We start from the raw sequence: 18,326 nt of genomic DNA on the forward strand, positions 1-18,326 counted from the left end.
CCACCAGGCCCCACCTCCAGCCCTGGGGATTGCAATTCAACATGGATTTGGGCAGGGACACACATCCCAACCATGTCAGTAACATTTACTGAGTGCTTGGTTTGCACTAGGCACCATGCTGGATTCCTTACATAATTACTTATTTAATCTTCACAGTTGCTCTACAGGGTGGCTCCCATTTTTATAGAAGAGGAAATGGAAGTACAATGTAGTAAAACAAATTGCCCTAATTCACACAGCTACTGAGAAGCCATTGGGGTTACGGACTCAGGCAACTGGACTCCACTGCCACTGTTAGGCCAATTCGAGATCCTGCCACTTTGTATAATTATCTTGCTTGTGTTAACATTGTAGGTAGGCTTTGTGTAATACTGGGCATACAGACATTATGCTAATATGACTCCATAACACCTGACTGCAAAACCTAAAGAGGATGCTAATATGACTCCATAACAGCTGACTGCAAAACCTAAAGAGGATGCTAATGTAACTCCATAACACCTGACTGCAAAACCTAAAGAGGATGCTAATATGACTCCATAACACCTGACTGCAAAACCTAAAGAGGATGCTAATATGACTCCATAACACCTGACTGCAAAACCTAAAGAGGATGCTAATATGACTCCATAACACCTGACTGCAAAACCTAAAGAGGATGCTAATGTGACTCCGTAACACCTGACTGCAAAACCTAAAGAGGATGCTAATGTGACTCCGTAACACCTGACTGCAAAACCTAAAGAGGATGCTAATGTGACTCCGTAACACCTGACTGCAAAACCTAAAGAGGATGCTAATGTGACTCCGTAACACCTGACTGCAAAACCTAAAGAGGATGCTAATGTGACTCCGTAACACCTGACTGCAAAACCTAAAGAGGATGCTAATGTGACTCCGTAACACCTGACTGCAAAACCTAAAGAGGATGCTAATGTGACTCCGTAACACCTGACTGCAAAACCTAAAGAGGATGCTAATGTGACTCCGTAACACCTGACTGCAAAACCTAAAGAGGATGCTAATGTGACTCCGTAACACCTGACTGCAAAACCTAAAGAGGATGCTAATATGACTCCATAACAGCTGACTGCAAAACCTAAAGAGGATGCTAATGTAACTCCGTAACACCTGACTGCAAAACCTAAAGAGGATGCTAATATGACTCCGTAACACCTGACTGCAAAACCTAAAGAGGATGCTAATGTGACTCCGTAACACCTGACTGCAAAACCTAAAGAGGATGCTAATGTGACTCCGTAACACCTGACTGCAAAACCTAAAGAGGATGGGAAAGGAAGGTGATTGCTTTTTTTGTTTTTTAAAGAGATGGGGTCTCTGGCTGGGCACGGTGGTTCACGCCTGTAATCCCAGCACTTTGGGAGGCCGAGGCGGGTGGATCACGAGGTCAGGAGATCGAGACCATCCTGGCTGACACGGTGAAACCCCGTCTCTACTAAAAATACAAAAAAATTAGCAGGGCGTGGTGGCGGGCGCCTGTAGTCCCAGCTACTCGGGAGGCTGAGGCAGGAGAATGGCGTGAACCCGGGAGGCGGAGCTTGCAGTGAGCCAAGATAGTGATACTGCACTCCAGCCTGGGGGACAGAATGAGACTCCGTCTCAAAAAAAAAAAAGAGATGAGGTCTCGCTCTATCACCCAGGCTGGAGTGCAGCCCCAGCCTCCATCATCTTGTCTCGCGGCAGCCCCAGCCTCTTGGGTTGATCCTCTTGCCTCATCCTGAGCAGCTGAACTACAGGCACATCTCACCACACCCGGCTAATTGAAAAAAAAAAATTTAGTGGATATTGGTCTTACTGTGTCGTCCAGGCTGGTCTCAAACTCTTGGGCTCAAGCAATCCTCCTGCCTCAGCTTCCCAAAGTGCTGGGGTTACAGGTGTGAGCCACTTCACCCAGAGGTGGTTGACTTTTGTGACAAAGTTGCTTGCTACTGTGAAAAAATGGTTTTTGGCCAGGCGCAGTCCCAGCACTTTGGGAGGCTGAAGTGGGAGGATCGAGACCAGCCCGGGCAACAAAGTGAGACATTGTCTACAAAAAAAAAAATCAGAAATTAAGAAAAAATGGTTTTGGCCGGGCTTGGTGCCCATGCCTATAATCCCAGCACTTTGGGAGGCCAAGGCAGGTGGATCCGTCGAAGTCGGGAGTTCAAGACCAGCCTGGCCAACATGGCAGAAACCCTGTCTCTAGGAAAAATACAAAACTTAGCTGGCCATGGTGGTGGGCACCTGTAATCCCAGCTACTCGGGAGGCTGAGGCAGGAGAATTGCTTGAACCCAGGAGGCGGAGGTTGCAGTGAGCTGAGATCATGCCACTGCACTTCACCCTGGGTGACAGAGCAAGACTCCGTCTAAAAAAATGGTTTTGATTGTTTCTATCATAAATTATAAATCACGCAATTATAAACTAGTTTATAGTCTAGTTAGGGAGATGGAAATTAATGTTTAACATTATACAAAAGAGGATCTGGGAGAATATTTACACACGAATCAGATATGGGCCCCAGTGGGGGAGGTTTTCAGTGGAGTGGTGCTGGGCTGACCCTCCAGAGACTAGTGGGCCTCTCGGCCTGTTGTGAACTGCAGGGAAGCCTGCTCCAGGACGACAAGAGCCTGTGCTGGGGCCGTGTGGCCAGAGAGAGCTCCGTGCTTCATCAGGAACCACGGCCAGCCCACTGGCTGGAGCAGAGAGCAATGCCCACGGAGGCCACAAGCCTCCTGACTGTCCCTGGGTTCCACTCCCTCTCCACCAGCCCATCCTGCAACATGCAATTACAGCATGCTTTCCCATTTCAGTGACTTACACTTTAAATTTTAATCTTTGTATCACAACATTCAAGGCCCTTTACAAATGGGATCATGCCTACTTTTCAGCCTCATCTCCAACTGTCCCCCAACTCCCAGTCACAAAACACATGCCATGTACCATAGATTGTAGGTCTGCAAATATATATATATATATATATATATATATATATATATATATATATATATATATATATATATATATTTTAGACAGAGTCTTGCACTGTCACCCAGGCTGGAGTGCAGTGGTGCAATCTCAGCTCACTGCAACCTCCACCTCCCGGGTTCAAGCAATTCTCCCCACCTCACTCAGCCTCCTGAGTAGCTGGGATTACAGGGTGTGTGCTACCATGCCCAGATAATTTTTGTGGTTTTGGTAGAGACGAGGTTTCACCGTGTTGGTCAGGCTAGTCTCAAACTCCTGACCTCAGGTGATTCGCCTGCCTCAGCCTTCCAAAGCACTGGGATTACAGGCGTAAGCCACCACGCCCGGCCCCAGATAGTATTTTATTTAGTTTTCTATTTCTAGCATTCTGTCACTTCCTAGGGTATCAAATGAACTCTGTATGTCACCTAGTGAATAAATAAAAATGATGGAAGAAATATTATAAGATAGAATGTAACTGATTGGGAAATGAGCTATTCAGAAAATAATTGTTTTGGGTCCTTTTCTAGTCATAAATCCATTTATTCAGCAAATATGGTGGAGCACAGTGAAAAAGAAGACAGCGTCGCAAAGCTCTGTGGATGTGGCGCCTTTGGGAAACTCTAGGTTGCTCTATTTGGCAATGAGGGAGTGCCGCAGAAGTGAGGTTGACGTGAGGTTCACATTTTAGATGGTTCTGTCTGCTGGAGTGGGGAAGAATGGGCAGATTTAAGGTATAATTCAGAAGTCCTCTGATGGGAGCTTGTGACTGCCGGTGGAAGCTCAGGATGCGGATCTTAAGAGCTAGGCCTGGGGCATCCACGTCGTGTGTGACATTTCCAGATCCTGTGGCTGGCAAGGTATTTTGTTTGTTTGTTTGTTTTGAGACGGAGTCTTGCTGTCTTGCCCAGGCTGGAGCGCAGTGGCACCATCCCAGCTCACTGCAAGCTCCGCCTCCAGGATTCAAGCGATTCTCCTGCCTCAGCCTCCTGAGTAGCTGGGACTGCAGGCACCCGCCACCATGCCCGGCTAATTTTTGTATTTTTAGTAGAGATGGGGTTTCACCATATTGGTCAGGCTGGTTTCAAACTCCTGACCTTGTGATCCACCTGCCTCAGCCTCCCAAAGTGCTGGCATTACAGGCATGAGCCACCACGCCCAGCCGGGGCTGGCAGTTTTATTCCTCACATTCAACCTGACATTCAACAAAGAGTAGGCAGCTCTTCTAGTGTCACCGTTTCCTCAGCCGACATAGTGTGACCTGGTTAGGAAGGTGGGCTTTAGCCTCAGTCCGTCCACCTGCTTCTCTGAGTGACCTTGGGCAAGCTAATTAGCCTTTCTGGCCTGCAGTCTCCTCATACACTTATGGCATGATAATTAAATGAATTACCAATGGCCCGCACTGAGTTTGGTGCCTTGCTTGGAGCAGTCACTAAATAAATGATAGCTGTCACAGACACCTTTCCTGTCTTCCTTTTCGCTCATGTCAAGTGCTGATGAGTGGAAGTGAAGAAGGTCATAGTGACGTGTCTGACACCCGAATGCAGGAAATGAGAAAGGTTTATTGATTCTGCTCTTAATTTCTGTAAGGCAAAGAGCTGAGTTATTGGCCTTTGTGTCTGAAGCAAGTAGAAAGATATAAAACTGTAAGCTGATTCATAATAGTATGTGAGTTAAAATAGTGTCTGCAAAGCAGACACCATGTTGTGTATCTGTATTTTCTGTCTACAGAAAGACCATGAAATCAAAGCACAGAGTATTAGTAGATGTCCACTCAGATGCTCCTTAACACAGGATTTGAGATTCTACTCTCTGTGAGGACAGTAAGTGGAATCTTCTCTAAGTAACATCCACATACTGGAGCAAATGCAGATTACATAAACAGCTAAGTATCAACAGGACCTCCGCTCCACCTTGCTGAAGATTGGCTTTTTTTGTTTGTTTGTTTTTGAGATGGAGTCTTGCTCTGTTGCCCAGGCTGGAGTGCAGTGGCACAATCTCAGCTTACTGCAGCGTCCACCTCCCGGGTTCAAGTGATTCTCCCACCTCAAACTCCTGGGTAGCTGGGACTAGAGGTGTGTGCCACCATGCCCGGCCAGTTTTTTTTTGTTTTTCGAGATGGAGTTTCGCTCTTGTTGCCCAGGTTGGAGTTCAGTGGCATGATATCAGCTCACTGCAACCTCCACCTCTCAGGTTCAAGCAATTCTCCTGCCTCAGCCACCTGAGTAGCAGGGATTACAGACACCCACCACAACGCCTAATTTTTTTTGTATTTTTAGTAGAGACGGGGTTTTGCCATGTTGGCCAGGCTGGTCACGAACTCCTGACCTCAAGTGATCTGCCCACCTTGGCCTCCTGAAGTGCTAGGATTACAGGTGTGAGCCACCGCACCCAGCCTCATTTTTGTATTTTTTGTAGAGATGAGGTTTTGCTATGTTGGTCAGGCTGGTCACAAACTCCTGACCTCAAGTGATCTGCCCACCTCAGCCTCCCAAAGTACTGGGATTATAGGCTGAGCCACCGTGCCCAGCCAAGATTGGCTTTTATGTTTAAGCTGTAAATTACAAACTAAAACGTGACAGAGGCATATCTCAGTAGATTTAGGGATTTATTTTGCTGAGGTTGAAGACAAGCCAGGGAAAAAGAGACACAAGTTACAGTAGGATCTGTGTCCTGTGCTTTTTCCAAAGAGGGTTTTGGGAACTTTAATATTTAAAGGGGAATGTGCAAGCAGGAGGGGAAGAAAAAAGGAAGGAAAAAGGAGAGAGGGTAGGCAGTGAGGCAGTGGTTACATTCCTGTGAGGCACCGGTGAGTGTGAATCTACTTTACATGTGGAAAGAAAGGAATTGCAGGAAAGTCAATCATGCATTCTTCTCCAGCTCAATGGATCTATATTTTGCATGAAATAAAGTAAGCATGTGAATTACAGCCATCGGTTTGGGAACAAAAGGAAGGCAGTCTCTCTCCTCTCTCTCTCGTTTTTCTTTCACCTTGCAGGAAGTTTTCGCCTGACTCAGTTCCCAAGTGAGTTTGGGGTCCTGAGATTTTCCTTTCACAAAGGGAAATACATTTGAGATATGGAATACTTGTCTTAACGTTTCTTTCCTCTCCTCTCTTGTGTTCGTTAACCAAAATGCAAGAATCTCAGTCTGGTTTACTAAGCCAGACCTGGAGGGCACCTTTGGGAAAAACGTGGGTCATCGGTGCAGATGTCACTACTGACCCTGAGGAGGTTTTCAGGAGGTCTCATGTTTACTCATTTCCTTAAAGGGGGAGAGCGCGTGGGAATTGGGGTGGGTGGGTGATAAGGAAAATGGTCACGTTCTTGTGAGACTTCATTTAGTGCTAGTAAATCTACATTTTACACAAGATAAAGTGAAAGTTTTAAGAAAAAATGGAGTAAAGGAAGAATCAATTATGCAATCCTCTCTGGGGAGGTGGAGGAAAAATTGCTCTCATTTTTTTTCTTTTTTTTTGAGATGGAGTTTCGCTCTTGTTGCCCAGGCTGGAGTGCAATGGTGCAATCTTGGCTCACCACAACCTCCACCTCCAGGTTCAAGCGATTCTCCTGCCTCAGCCTCTCGAGTAGCTGGGATTACAGGCATGCACCACCACACCCAGCTAATTTTGTATTTTTAGTGGAGATGGGGTTTCTCCATGTTGGTCAGGCTGGTCTCGAACTCCCGACCTCAGGTGATCCACCTGCCTCAGTCTCTCAAAGTGTTGGGATTGCAGGCGTGAGCCACTGTGCCCAGTCTAATTGCTCTCGTTCTATCTTTGTTCTGCACCTGGGAAGATCAGCTTGTGTAAACCAAAAATAAAATTCTAGGGCCCCCCAACCATCTAGATGGACCTCTCCTCTTGGCCAAGGGCATTCCAAAGTTAACATGAATAATTCTCTCTTTCTCTATTTTCTTTTCTGCTTGCTTTAAATCTGCTGTTACTTTTCTTCTGAGATAAAAATCACTGTTTGGATCCAACTGGTTTATTGTTGTTGTTGTTTTACAAACCAGTAAGTTTGTATTAATATCTCATGGCTAGAGTTCTGAAGTAAAAGCTATAGGATTTTTTTTTGTATGGTGAGTGTGTTGTGTATTTTTGGCCACAAGATACCAAATTGGTTTAAAGGTAAAGAGTACTCATAAATTAAATAGCCCAAATGCTTCTCAAGTTCACATGACTTAAGTAAAATCTGTAATCAATAAGTTGGCTTTAAAATTATTGGTAAAGTAATGTTAGAAATGGAGGAACTGGCAACATTTTTGTTTGCATTTATTGATCAAGTGGTTTCATACTTAACCGTGCAGAATACTATAAGGTGTCAAAATTTGCCGTAAGGGTTATAAAACTCTAAATCAGGCCTAAAATAGAATAATTGTTGCTTGCGTAATTTTTGATAAATAAGACATTTAATATTGTTGGTTTAATGAAAACAGCTAAATCTCAAGTTACTGGTAAAATGCCCGTATACTTAACCTTAACTTTATTACTTAGGTAAATGCCTGCAATTCATAGACTATAAAGATGGTTGACAGGGAAATAACTTTAAATGATGACTATCACAGTTTTCATAAGCAATCTAGATAAACTATTAAATAAATTAATCAGGTAAATGTAACAGAACAAATGCTTGTAAACAAACTTGTCATATAATTTAGAATCTAAGGTTATATTAAATAATAAATATTAATTAAATGCCTAGGATTTCCAATTTAAAAATTATAGAAAAACATTTAAAAATGTGTTCTTATTAAATGGTGAATATTTTTTGTCTACTTCAAAGGTTATTTAAAGGTTACATATAAAACCACGTAGGCTGGGCATGGTGGCTTATGCCTGTATTTCCAGCACTCTGGGAGGCCACGGCAGGCAGATCACTTGAGACTAGGAGTTCGAGACTAGCCTGGGCAACATAGTAAAACCCCATCTGTACAAAAATACAAAAATTAGCTGGGCATGGTGGTGCGCACCTGTAGTCCCAGCTACTTGGGAGGCTGAGGCAGGAGAATCGCTTGAACCTGGGAAGCAGAAGTTGTAGTGAGCTGAGATTGCACCACTGCACTCCAGCCTGGGCAGCAGAGCAAAACTCCATTTCAAAAACAAATAAATAAATAAAATAAAACAAGGTAAAAGGAACCAAGAAATAAGAGAGTTGTAAAGAAAGTTATAGATATAAAGATGATTTTTTTTGGTAAGAAGATAAAAGAAATTTTTTATGAAAGAGAATCTTATATGGTGAATTTTTGTCCTAAAATAAAATGGTTGTTCAAGAAAGAGGGATATTTAAGACAAACCATAAAGTTCAAGCATGTTGGGAATTGTCTATGTAAGTAGTAATACTGTTAGTAAAAAAAGGAATTTTTTAAAGTTAATTAAATTGGCTGTAATTAAAAATAAATTATAATAGTCTTTACAGAAATTGGACTCATTAAAATACATAATACAAAACTAAAGAATTGGTTAGAACAAGATTTTTTGAAAATATTGAATTACTCTTAATGCAAGAAGTCCTTAATTTTTAAATTCTATAATCTGTTTCTTTTTGAAATATTCTTCAGATTGATAGCTCAGAAGTACAACTTCTACTGTACCCTGCTGCTTCAGCTCTTTTGAGAAGGCCTGGGATGGTAACTCTCTCCTTCTCCTTTTGTTGGCTACTTTACCTTTTGTTGGCTTTTTAAAAATTAATAATCTAAGGTAAAGGAGAGAATATTTGAAAACAGGAAAATGAAAAAATCTTTTGGATCTTCCTTTGTCTGTATGTCTGTAATATCTGTATGTTTCTATGTGTCATGTGGAAGTGATAGTTCACTACCAAACTATGTGAAAGAGTTCTTATTAATTGACTTAAAGAAAAGTAAGTGCTTATCAGACTTTAATTGACTTAAAGAAAAGTTAGTGCTTATCAGACTCATAAAAGCTAGCTCTGATGCCTTTTGGTTCACATCACTTTAGTAATATTTCGTAAGATTAATTTGGTAAATTTAATCTCAAAATTCTGTCTTAAATCTTAAAGTCATGTAATGTTAAATTAAGTAACCTCAGTTTTTTTCACTTGGAATTTGGGTTACTAAGAATTAAAAAAGTAGGAGAGTAAATGGTGTTTCTGGTGGTTTATACAAACACAAGGATGTGGTTTTTGCTAAAGAAAATGCATTTTTTTCTAGTTTAGAGACTATTTAAAAGTCACTTTAAATAGTGACTCTTAAACCTTAAACTCTTTAGCATTTCCTTTAAAATAAAGAAAAAATTATATAGATTAAACTAAATGGATACAGAAAAAAAAGGCACAGAATGAGAAATCTTTGCCTCCTGGGTGGCCATGTCGTCACCCTTCTTAAGGAGCTGCAGCTGGGCTACATTCTGTTCCTGAAGGTAAAAGCTACCAGTGGGATTCTGAGACAGATCATACTCATACTCCCAGGCAGTTAGCTCACTGAATGCATAAGGGAAATTTAAAATAATAAAAAGCAAAATATTCATCCCTTGGTTATTGTTTTCTGTAATAGCTAAAATGAAAGTAAAAGAGTGCTGGATTGGGCCTTAACACTGGGCCATGCTCCAATGTGGATCTGTCTCAGCTCAGTCACTAGCCTCAGAGCTACCCACAAAAGGAAAAATTAAGCCAAGGCAAAAAAGTGACTTCTGAGACCTGTGGTTACTAAGAAGACAGTCAGTGTGGGGGAAAGGCAAAAATCAAGTAACTATTAAAACTAGAGGGTATGATGTAAAGGAATTGTTCCATTTTTAGATTGGTGTCATCAGCTTCTTGAGAAACCTATATTATAATAGATTGTAAAAATAACTACTTTATTGGACAGTATCCAATGGACAGTATCTTTAGTTTTAAAGACAGATATGGACAGTATCTTCAAATGCTACAGAATGAAAGAGCATGATTGGGTTGATGTAGGACCCACAGCTCACTATTAAACAATCCCTGAGGGATATATGTGATCCAATTGCACAAGAGGTTATTCCCAAGAGAATGAGCAGCCTAGTGGACTGGATAATTGCCACTATAAGGTCTGTTTGCCCTGAGAAGGGAACTGCTCAACTCTCCCTATAAAATGCTGAGTGGAGCACCCCAGATGAAGCAGCTGATATGCTTTATATGTAAACCATGTGGGACTGGATTTATGATGACTGGGATATTCTCCCCCTGAATATGTCTATTATCCAGGTCATGGTAAATATTGAGGGTAAAAGGGCCCATTTTACATGGGCACCTTGCGTGATATTACTGTTTGAGAAGTCTCATCAAATTTTCTGTCCCCCATGAGTCTTACTGATGCTTAATTAAACATTAGGGCAATTACCAAAAAAGCAAAATGGCAAAGGCAAAAGGGAGTTAAAGGACTCGCCCCAGAAGGGTGGTGGGAATCTTTAGATGGTTTTTAAGAAATGAAGTAAAATAAAATGAAAACTGATGGGGTTAAACAAAGGTCTTTACAACACCATCAAAAATTGGGTGGACCAGGCCGGGCGCGGTGACTCACGCCTGTAATCCCAGCACTTTGGGAGGCCGAGGCGGGCGGATCACGAGGTCAGGAGAGCGAGACCATTCTGGCTAACACGGTGAAACCCCATCTCTACTAAAAATACAAAAAATTAGCCAGGCATGGTGGCAGGCGCCTGTAGTCCCAGCTACTTGGGAGGCTGAGGCAGGAGAATGGCGTGAATCGCGAGGCAGAGCTTGCAGTAAGCTGAGATTGCGCCACTGCACTCCAGCCTGGGCAACAGAGTGAGACTCCGTTTCAAAAAAAAAAAAATTGGGTGGACCAAAGGGAACCCCTGCTGTTCCCCCAGCATTAAAGGGGCCCACACAAGTCTTCTGTATTTGCCCCAGATTGGAGAAATTTTAAGAGAAATCAAAAGGCAAAGGTTATAATGAGAAAGCTTACATTGAGGCACATTAAGATAAAGATTGACAAAAGGCCTGAGTCCCTTGGCTCAGCTCCCTGTTGGGAACCCAAATCCCTTTTTACTAGAAAAGGTAAAATGGTCTGTGGGTAGAGAAGAAAAGTTCCTGGGATGGGAACATAAACATGTACAGATTGATAGGACTATGAAATTTGAGATGTTTAAATAAGTTTTATGAAATGTAGTTGTGACTCTTACCTAAATGTCATATGAAAATAGATATTGTATCTGACTGAGGAATGTTTTCCCTATCTAGAACTATCAAACTGAAGGCATGTCAGTCTGCCCTTTGAGAAACGTTAATTGTGTTACAGGATCTTTGGGGGTTTCATTTTCTGGCTGGAAACCTCTGTGGTTGCTGTGCCTTTGCTCAAGATCTTTTCCTGCATCTGGGAAGAATGAGGTACACAGACAAGTGAAGGGTGAACAACACTAACATGAGCGTTATTGAGTGTTACAACAGCTTGGAGGAGACCCACAGTGGATAGCTCCTCTCTGTAGGCAGGTCATTTGTGGAGTCTTTAGTTCTCACAGCGAGGAGGCCCTGGAGAAGGCAGCTCCGCTCTGCAGCTGGTCGTCCTGATGTCTGCAGCTCTCAGCGGAGAGGAGGCTCTGGAGAGGGTGGCTCCTCTCTGCTGTCAGGTTGTCTCTCTGCAGCTCTCAACAGAGAGGGTACTCCTCTTTCTCCTCTGGCTGTCCTCTGCCCTGCTCTGGCTGAGCCCAGGGCTTTTATGGACCTCAGAGGGGAGGAAGTGCATCCTGATTGGTCCATGGGTGGCCAAGGGCAGCCCAAAAGAGGCATCATGAGCCCCCACTCTGGTCTGTAGGACTGCAGCCTGGCCTCCAGCCTTCAGGCCCTCCCTGGCCTAGAGGTGGGGCCTTACTGGGGGCCTGGCCCTTTTGCCCAGGAATCAATCTGCCTCCCACTGCCATTCATGGCCCCAACCCCTGCTCAGAGATTGGAGCAGGCGCTAGGAGCAGAGAGAGGCCAGGCAGTGGGAGTAGACACCCCTGAGCCTGCAGAGCTGGGGAGTGGGGAGGGGAGATCCTTTCTGGGGCCCCTGAAGGTGCAGGCTACAGAGACACCTGGGTCCTGCACCTGGGAGAGTGGCCACAGCTGCACCTGGGAGCTCCCGCCCCACCAACTAGGAAGGGCCCAGGGCTCTTGTTCCCAGCTCCTGCCTGCTCCAGGAAGTGGGAGGCCCAGGTCTACAGTTGCACGTCCAGCTGCTGCAGCTGCACCTAGCAGGGCAGATCCTGCCTGTTTCTGGCCACTCCCAGGCAAAAGCACAGGGAGGCAAAGATCCACAGCCACAGTTTGGAAGGCTGCAGGAACACCCAGGGAGCTCCCGTCCCAACTCAGAAGGGATGTGGCTCCAACCAGCTCCACGCAGTGTGCAGCCCCAGCCAGGCCTCCCTGCTGCAGCTGGTGTGGTGGCATTAGCCAGTGCTATCAATTGTAAATGTTAAATGGGAACTAGTAAGACTGCCTGAGCCCACAGAATGTAGGGTAGAAGCTGGAATGTTGCTCGGGACAAATCCTCCACTTCATAGCCCTCTGTGGAGCATTTACTGGGGCTTATGGCAGAAACCTGTGGGCCTTCCCAATGATGACTACTGGGACTTTGGACCAGAGAATTTCCGCTTGCTTTGGAATGTTAACTGAAGCTATCCCTATGCTAATAGGAATATGGTGCCAAAAAAAGAGTTCCATAATAAAATAAAAATAGTTTACATAGGATCTTGTTGCCTGGGGCAGCAAGGAGGAGATGCTTTTAAGTAGGGAACCTCTTTTTCCCCAGGACTCTAACTTTATGAGGAGCTGCTGGAGTCTACGGAGCCTGAGAAATAGCTCTCATCTAACGAGCTGCTTGGTCGTGAATGACAGTTTCAAGAGGAACAAATGACATCTAGTTTGGCAGTCTGCTGCTCTAGTTAAAGAAGAGTCAAGGAAATCTTTTTCTTTTGAGTTATTTATAGTTTAGAGCAATTGGGTTTTGTGAGCAAATTTACCTTTCTGAGTTTGACTAAATTTGCAAATTATTTGTGATTTTATGATAATATAGTTATTCACATACATTTAGTAAGAGTCTTTTCTTTTGAAACAGGATAATTGGAGACACTGGTTATTTTATCAGGGCTTTGATTAGAATAACATATTTTTGGCTGGGCGCAGTGGTTCATGCCTGTAATCACAGCACTTTGGGAGGCCCAGGCAGATGAACTGCTTGAGCTCAGGAGTTCAAGACCAGCCTGGGCAACATGACGAAACCCCATCTCTACAAAAAGTACAAAAATTAGCTGGGTGTGGTGGTGGCTGGTGCCTGTAATCCCAGCAAGAAGGAGAATTGCTTGAACCTAGGAGGCGGAGGTTGCAGTGAGCTGAAATTGCACCATTGTAGTCCAGCCTGGGTGACAAGAGCAAAACTCTGTCTCAAAAAAAAAGAATAACATATTTTTAGGTAAAGTTCTAGCAAAGCCAACTTAAGAAGAGTGTATATAGTCAATTGGTTCTTGCTGCACTTTATGCAAATCATCAGGCCAACTATAATAAGACTAAAACGTATTTTCCACACAAGTTGATCTTATTATAATGTCTCTTTATTAGAAAAGGAGGGCTAGAGAGAAACTGAGTCAAAGGAAAAGTGTAACACTTGTTACTGATGACTGTCCTGACTTCTGTTTTTGAGTGCAGATTGAATCATGAATCATCTCTGGGCTGCAAGAATCCTCTAAAGAGCACCAGGCTACAATTTTGATTCATATTTATAGTTGGTGCCCCAGCAGAATAGGTTCTTTCTTCTGTTCTGACACACAAATACTATTCTGATTATCAAATTATTAATGTTATTTATCTCTTCTTGTTTTACTTCCAAGGAAACCAGAATCACGGAATTCTAAAAAGATGTGGCATTGGCACTCGGGCATTCCACTGTGCCTGATCTGTTTTCATGGCCAGTGCCCTGCTAACCCTACACAGGCACCCTCCCTCTAGGGCCAGGGACCATAGCAGAAGAGCTGGGCGCCTGAGATTCTAAGGGCTGTTTTTTTTTTTCTTAGATGGAGTTTTGCTCTTGTTGTCTGGAGTGCAGTGGTGTGATTTTGGCTCACTGCAACCTCTGCCTCCTGGTTTCAAGCGATTCTCCTGCCTCAGCCTCCTGAGTAGCTGGGATTGCAGGTGCCTGCCACCATGCCTGGCTAATGTTTGTATTTTTGGTAGAGACGGGGTTTTACCATGTTGGCCAGGCTAGTCTTGAATTCCTGACCCTGTGATCCGCCCGCCTTGGCCTCTCAAAGTGTTGGGATTACAGGCATGAGCCACCGCGCCCGGCCTGTAAGCGCTGGTTTTGAGGGAGAGAATTAGTTCAGACCGGCTGGGCATGGTGGCTCACGCCTGTAATCCTAGCACTTTGGGAGGCCAAGGTGGGCAGATCACAAGGTCAGGAGTTCGAGACCAGCCTGGCCAACATGGTGAAACCCCGTGTCTACCAAAAATACAAAAATTAGCCAGGCGTGGTGGGAGGTGCCTGCAGTCCCAGCCAGTCAGGAGGCTGAGGCAGGAGAATTGCTTGAACCCTGGAGGCGGAGGTTGCAGTGAGCTGAGATCGCGCCATTGCATTCTAGCCTGGGGGACAAGAGCGAGACTTCGTCTCAAAAAAATAAAAATAAAAAATTTTATTAGCCATTTTAGGACAAATTACTAAAGGACAATAAAAAGCATTGCAGCACAACAAAAGTCTCTAAAAATCCTTAGCTTAAAAGGTTTTAACAATGCTTATGTTCTGTATAGCTAATTGCTATAAGTCTGTAACTAAAACCAAGATTACAGTAGCTCAGTCAGGTTTGTAACCTCGCCCTTGGCTTTTTGTTTGTTGGCTTTTTACTTAAATTTTTAAGGGTTAATGAATGCTTGTCTGTGTCCATTCCCATTTGGCCTAGAACATTTTAATTGGCTACAAGTCTTTTGACTCTAAGTCTCTTGGCCATAGGGTGTCCCGCTGAGAGACAGGACAGATCCAGGGCAGGCAGCCATGTCACCCTGGCAATGCTATGGAACAAAACAAAAGCTTGGTGGCCACTGGTGTTGCCTCTGACAAATGTTGGCCACAAGGGGAGGATGTAAACCAAAAATAAAATTGTAAGACCCCCAACCATCTGAATGGACCACTCCTCCTTGGCCAAGGGCATTCCAAACTTAACCTGAAGAAGTAGTTCAGGACATGATGGGAAGAGGGAGATGGACATGCCTCATGATACCCTCCTCCCTTTTGGAATCACGGATGGAACAGGCTTCTTTAAGTCTGGTAAGAAGCATTTACAGTCGATTCTCTCTGAAGCCTGCTACCTGGAGGCCTCATCTGCATGGGGTGACCAAGGTTTTCTTGGTCATTATCAGTGTGAAGTTGAACAGTCTTTCGTTTTAGACCTTAGTTTTTATGAGCTGGACTTGTAACCGCCCAACAGGTTCTCCTTGCCGGCTGCTCAGACAGAGATGATTTATCTAGATAGGAAATTGCAATAGAGAAAGAATTTAATTCACGCAGAGCCGGCTGTATGGGAGACCAGAGGTTTTTTTTTTTTTTTTTAGATGGAGTTTTGCTCTTGTTGCCCAGGCTGGAGTGCAGTGGCGCGATCTTGGCTCACTGCAACCTCCCACTCCTGGGTTCAAGAGAGTCTCCTGCCTCAGCCCCCAAGTAGCTGGGATTACAGGCATGTACCACCACACCCAGCTAATTTTGTATTTTTAGTAGAGACGGGCTTTCTCCATGTTGGTCAGGCTGGTCTCAAACTCCCGACCTCAGGTGATCTGCCTGCCTCAGCCTCCCAAAGTGCTGGGATTACAGGCATGAGCCACCATGCCCAGTGGAGTTTTATTATTGCTCAAATCAGTGTCCCCCAAAATTTGAGGATTGGAGTTTGAAGGATAATTTAGTGGGTGGGGGGGCGTTGAGAAGTGGGGAGTGCTGATTGGTAGGATTGGAGATGAAATCAGGGAATCCAAGCTGTCTTCTTGCGCTGAGTCAGTTCCTAAGTGGGGGTCACAAGACCAGATGAGCCAGTTTATCCATCTGGGTTGCACCAGCCGACCCATTGAGTGAAGGGACTGAAAAATGTCTCAAGCACCAATCTTAGGTTTTACAATAGTGATATTATCCCTAGGAGTAATTGAGGAGGTTTAGAATCTTGTGGCCTTTAGCTGCATGACTCCTAAACCATAATTTCTAATCTCATGGCTAATTTGTTAGTCCTCCAAAGGCCATCTAGTCCCCAGCAAGAAGAGGGTTTGCATCATTCTCAGCAAACTATCACAAGAACAGAAAACCAAACACCGCATGTTCTCACTCATAAGTGGGAGTTGAACAATGAGAACACATGGACACAGGGAGAGGAACATCACACGTGGGGGTCTGTCGGGGGGGGCTGGGGGATAGCATTAGGAGAAATACCTAATGTAGATGACGGGTTGATGGGTGTCGCAAACCACCGTGGCATGTGTATACCTATGTAACAAACCTGCACGTTCTGCACATGTACCCCAGAACTTAAAGTATAATAATAATAAAAAAAGAGAAGGGGGTTTGTTTTGGGAAAGGGCTGTTATCTTTCTTTCAAAGTTAAACTATTCTACGACCAGGAATGGACAAGGACAGCTTGGAGGTTAGAAGCAAGATGGAGTCAGGTTAGATCTCTTTCACTGTCATAATTTTCTCAGTTCTAATTCTTGCAGAGGTAGTTTCAGACTTAAGTTGCAGATCTAAAGTTACAATTGGCGTGTCTTTGTTTAAGTGAGGACACACATCTTGAAAGGTCTCCAGGCTGGCAAAACATTTACACCTGGGAGACTGGTGGGGGCCAAGGTGCCCGGCCCTGCCTTCACGGGGGCCTGGCTGGCAGGAGCCTTGCAGCCTGCAAAGCAACAGCTGTGCATTTGGAAGAGGGTGTTGGGCGACTCGGCTTGCAACCACCCAAGGGGTTCACCTTGCCCGCTGCCTAGACAGAGCCTATCGAGATGGGGGAATTGCAATAGAGAAAGAGTAATTTACACAGAGCTGGCTGTGCAGGAGACTAGAGTTTTATTATTACTCAAATCCATCTCCTTGAGCATTGAAGCATTCAGGGATCAGAGTTTTCAAGGATAACTTGGGTGGGGGGAAGCCAGTGAGCCAGGAGTGCTGATTGGTCAGAGATGAAATCATAGGGAGTCAAAGCGGTCTTCTTGCCCTTATCAGTTCCTGGGTGAGGGGCCACAAGATCTGATGAGCCAGTTTATTGATCTGGGTGGTGCCAGCTGATCCATCAAGTGCAGGTTCTGCAAAATATCTCAAGCACTGATCTTAGGAGCAGTTTAGGGAGGGTCAGAATATTGTAGCCTCCAGCTGCATATTAGAAACTACTCCTAAAACGTAATTTCTAATCTTGTGGCTAACATCAGTCCTACAAAGGCAATCAAGTCCCCAGGCAAGAAGGCCTGCTTTGGGAAAGGGCTGTTACCGTCTGTGTTTAAATTATAAAATATAAACTAAGTTTCTCCCAAAGTTAGTTCAGCCTACTGCCAGGAAGGAACAAGCACAGCTTGGAGGTCAGAAGCAAGATGCTGTGGGTTAAGTTACACCTCTTTTACTGCCTCAGTCATAATTTTGAAAAGGCGGTTTCAGGCTTTCAGCCCTAACTTTCCCTTTGGCTGAAGGAGTTCGGAGGTCCTGAGAGTTTTTGATTTTCCCTTACGTGTTGTATAAAAACAGTCTCTCAACGTTGATTCCTGCCTACCTTACTGCTTGTTTTTATCAAAAGACGACATATGGGAATATAATTTGTTAAGTGCAAAGCCTTATTCAAATGTAAAGCTCTTTTCTTTTTTTTTTTTTTTTTTTTGAGACAGAGTCTCGCTCTGTCGCCCAGGTTGGAGTGCAGTGGCGTGATCTCCGCTCACTGCAAGCTCCGTCTCCCAGGTTCACGCCATCCTTCTGCCTCAGCCTCCCGAGTAGCTGGGACTACAGGCGCCTGCTACTGCGCCCAGCTATTTTTTTTTTTTGTATTTTTAGTAGAGACGGGGTTTCACCGTGTTAGCCAGGATGGTCTCGATCTCCTGACCTCATGATCCACCCGCCTCCGCCTCCCAAAGTGCTGGGATTACAGGGGTGAGCCACCGCGCTCGGCCTCAAACGTAAAGCTCTTTTCAATATCTGCTCTCCCTTTCTATCTTCCCCGACTGTCAGTCCGGTCCCGTGGGAACCCGGGGCGGGTTGGGGCGAGTCAAGAGCCCCTGCACCCCAAGTCAGGGTACTGCACCTACCCCTTGGGGAGACCAACGACCGCTCGGTCCTCTGCTGCTCCTGCCTGGCGGTTGCTAGGAGCCGGGGAAGCGCAGGCGCATTGGGAGGGGCCGCGGGCACGCCGAGCAGCGACCACTCGGCCTTCCCCTGCTCCTGCCTGCCA

General features: G+C 44.7%; 1 protein-coding gene and 1 long non-coding RNA gene across 3 annotated transcripts in view; one reads left to right on the forward strand and one right to left on the reverse strand.

Moving 5' to 3' along the window:
* Positions 1,048-18,326, forward strand: part of DYNC2I1 (dynein 2 intermediate chain 1) — a 119,454-nt gene continuing 102,175 nt past the window's right edge. For both annotated transcript variants that reach the window (XM_047420560.1, NM_001350914.2), the window contains exon 1: positions 1,048-1,301. The gene's annotated coding sequence lies outside the window, so the exon portion shown is untranslated. The remainder of the gene's footprint in view (positions 1,302-18,326) is intronic.
* On the reverse strand, positions 16,941-18,325 carry LOC124901796 (uncharacterized). The gene is made up of 2 exons (XR_007060627.1): positions 18,184-18,325; positions 16,941-17,199 (listed from the first exon to the last, which is right to left on the reverse strand). It is a non-coding gene; the product is annotated as an uncharacterized LOC124901796 (long non-coding RNA).

This window comes from Homo sapiens, chromosome 7, assembly GCF_000001405.40.
Source record: "Homo sapiens chromosome 7, GRCh38.p14 Primary Assembly".
In the NCBI taxonomy this organism is placed as follows: domain Eukaryota; kingdom Metazoa; phylum Chordata; class Mammalia; order Primates; family Hominidae; genus Homo; species Homo sapiens.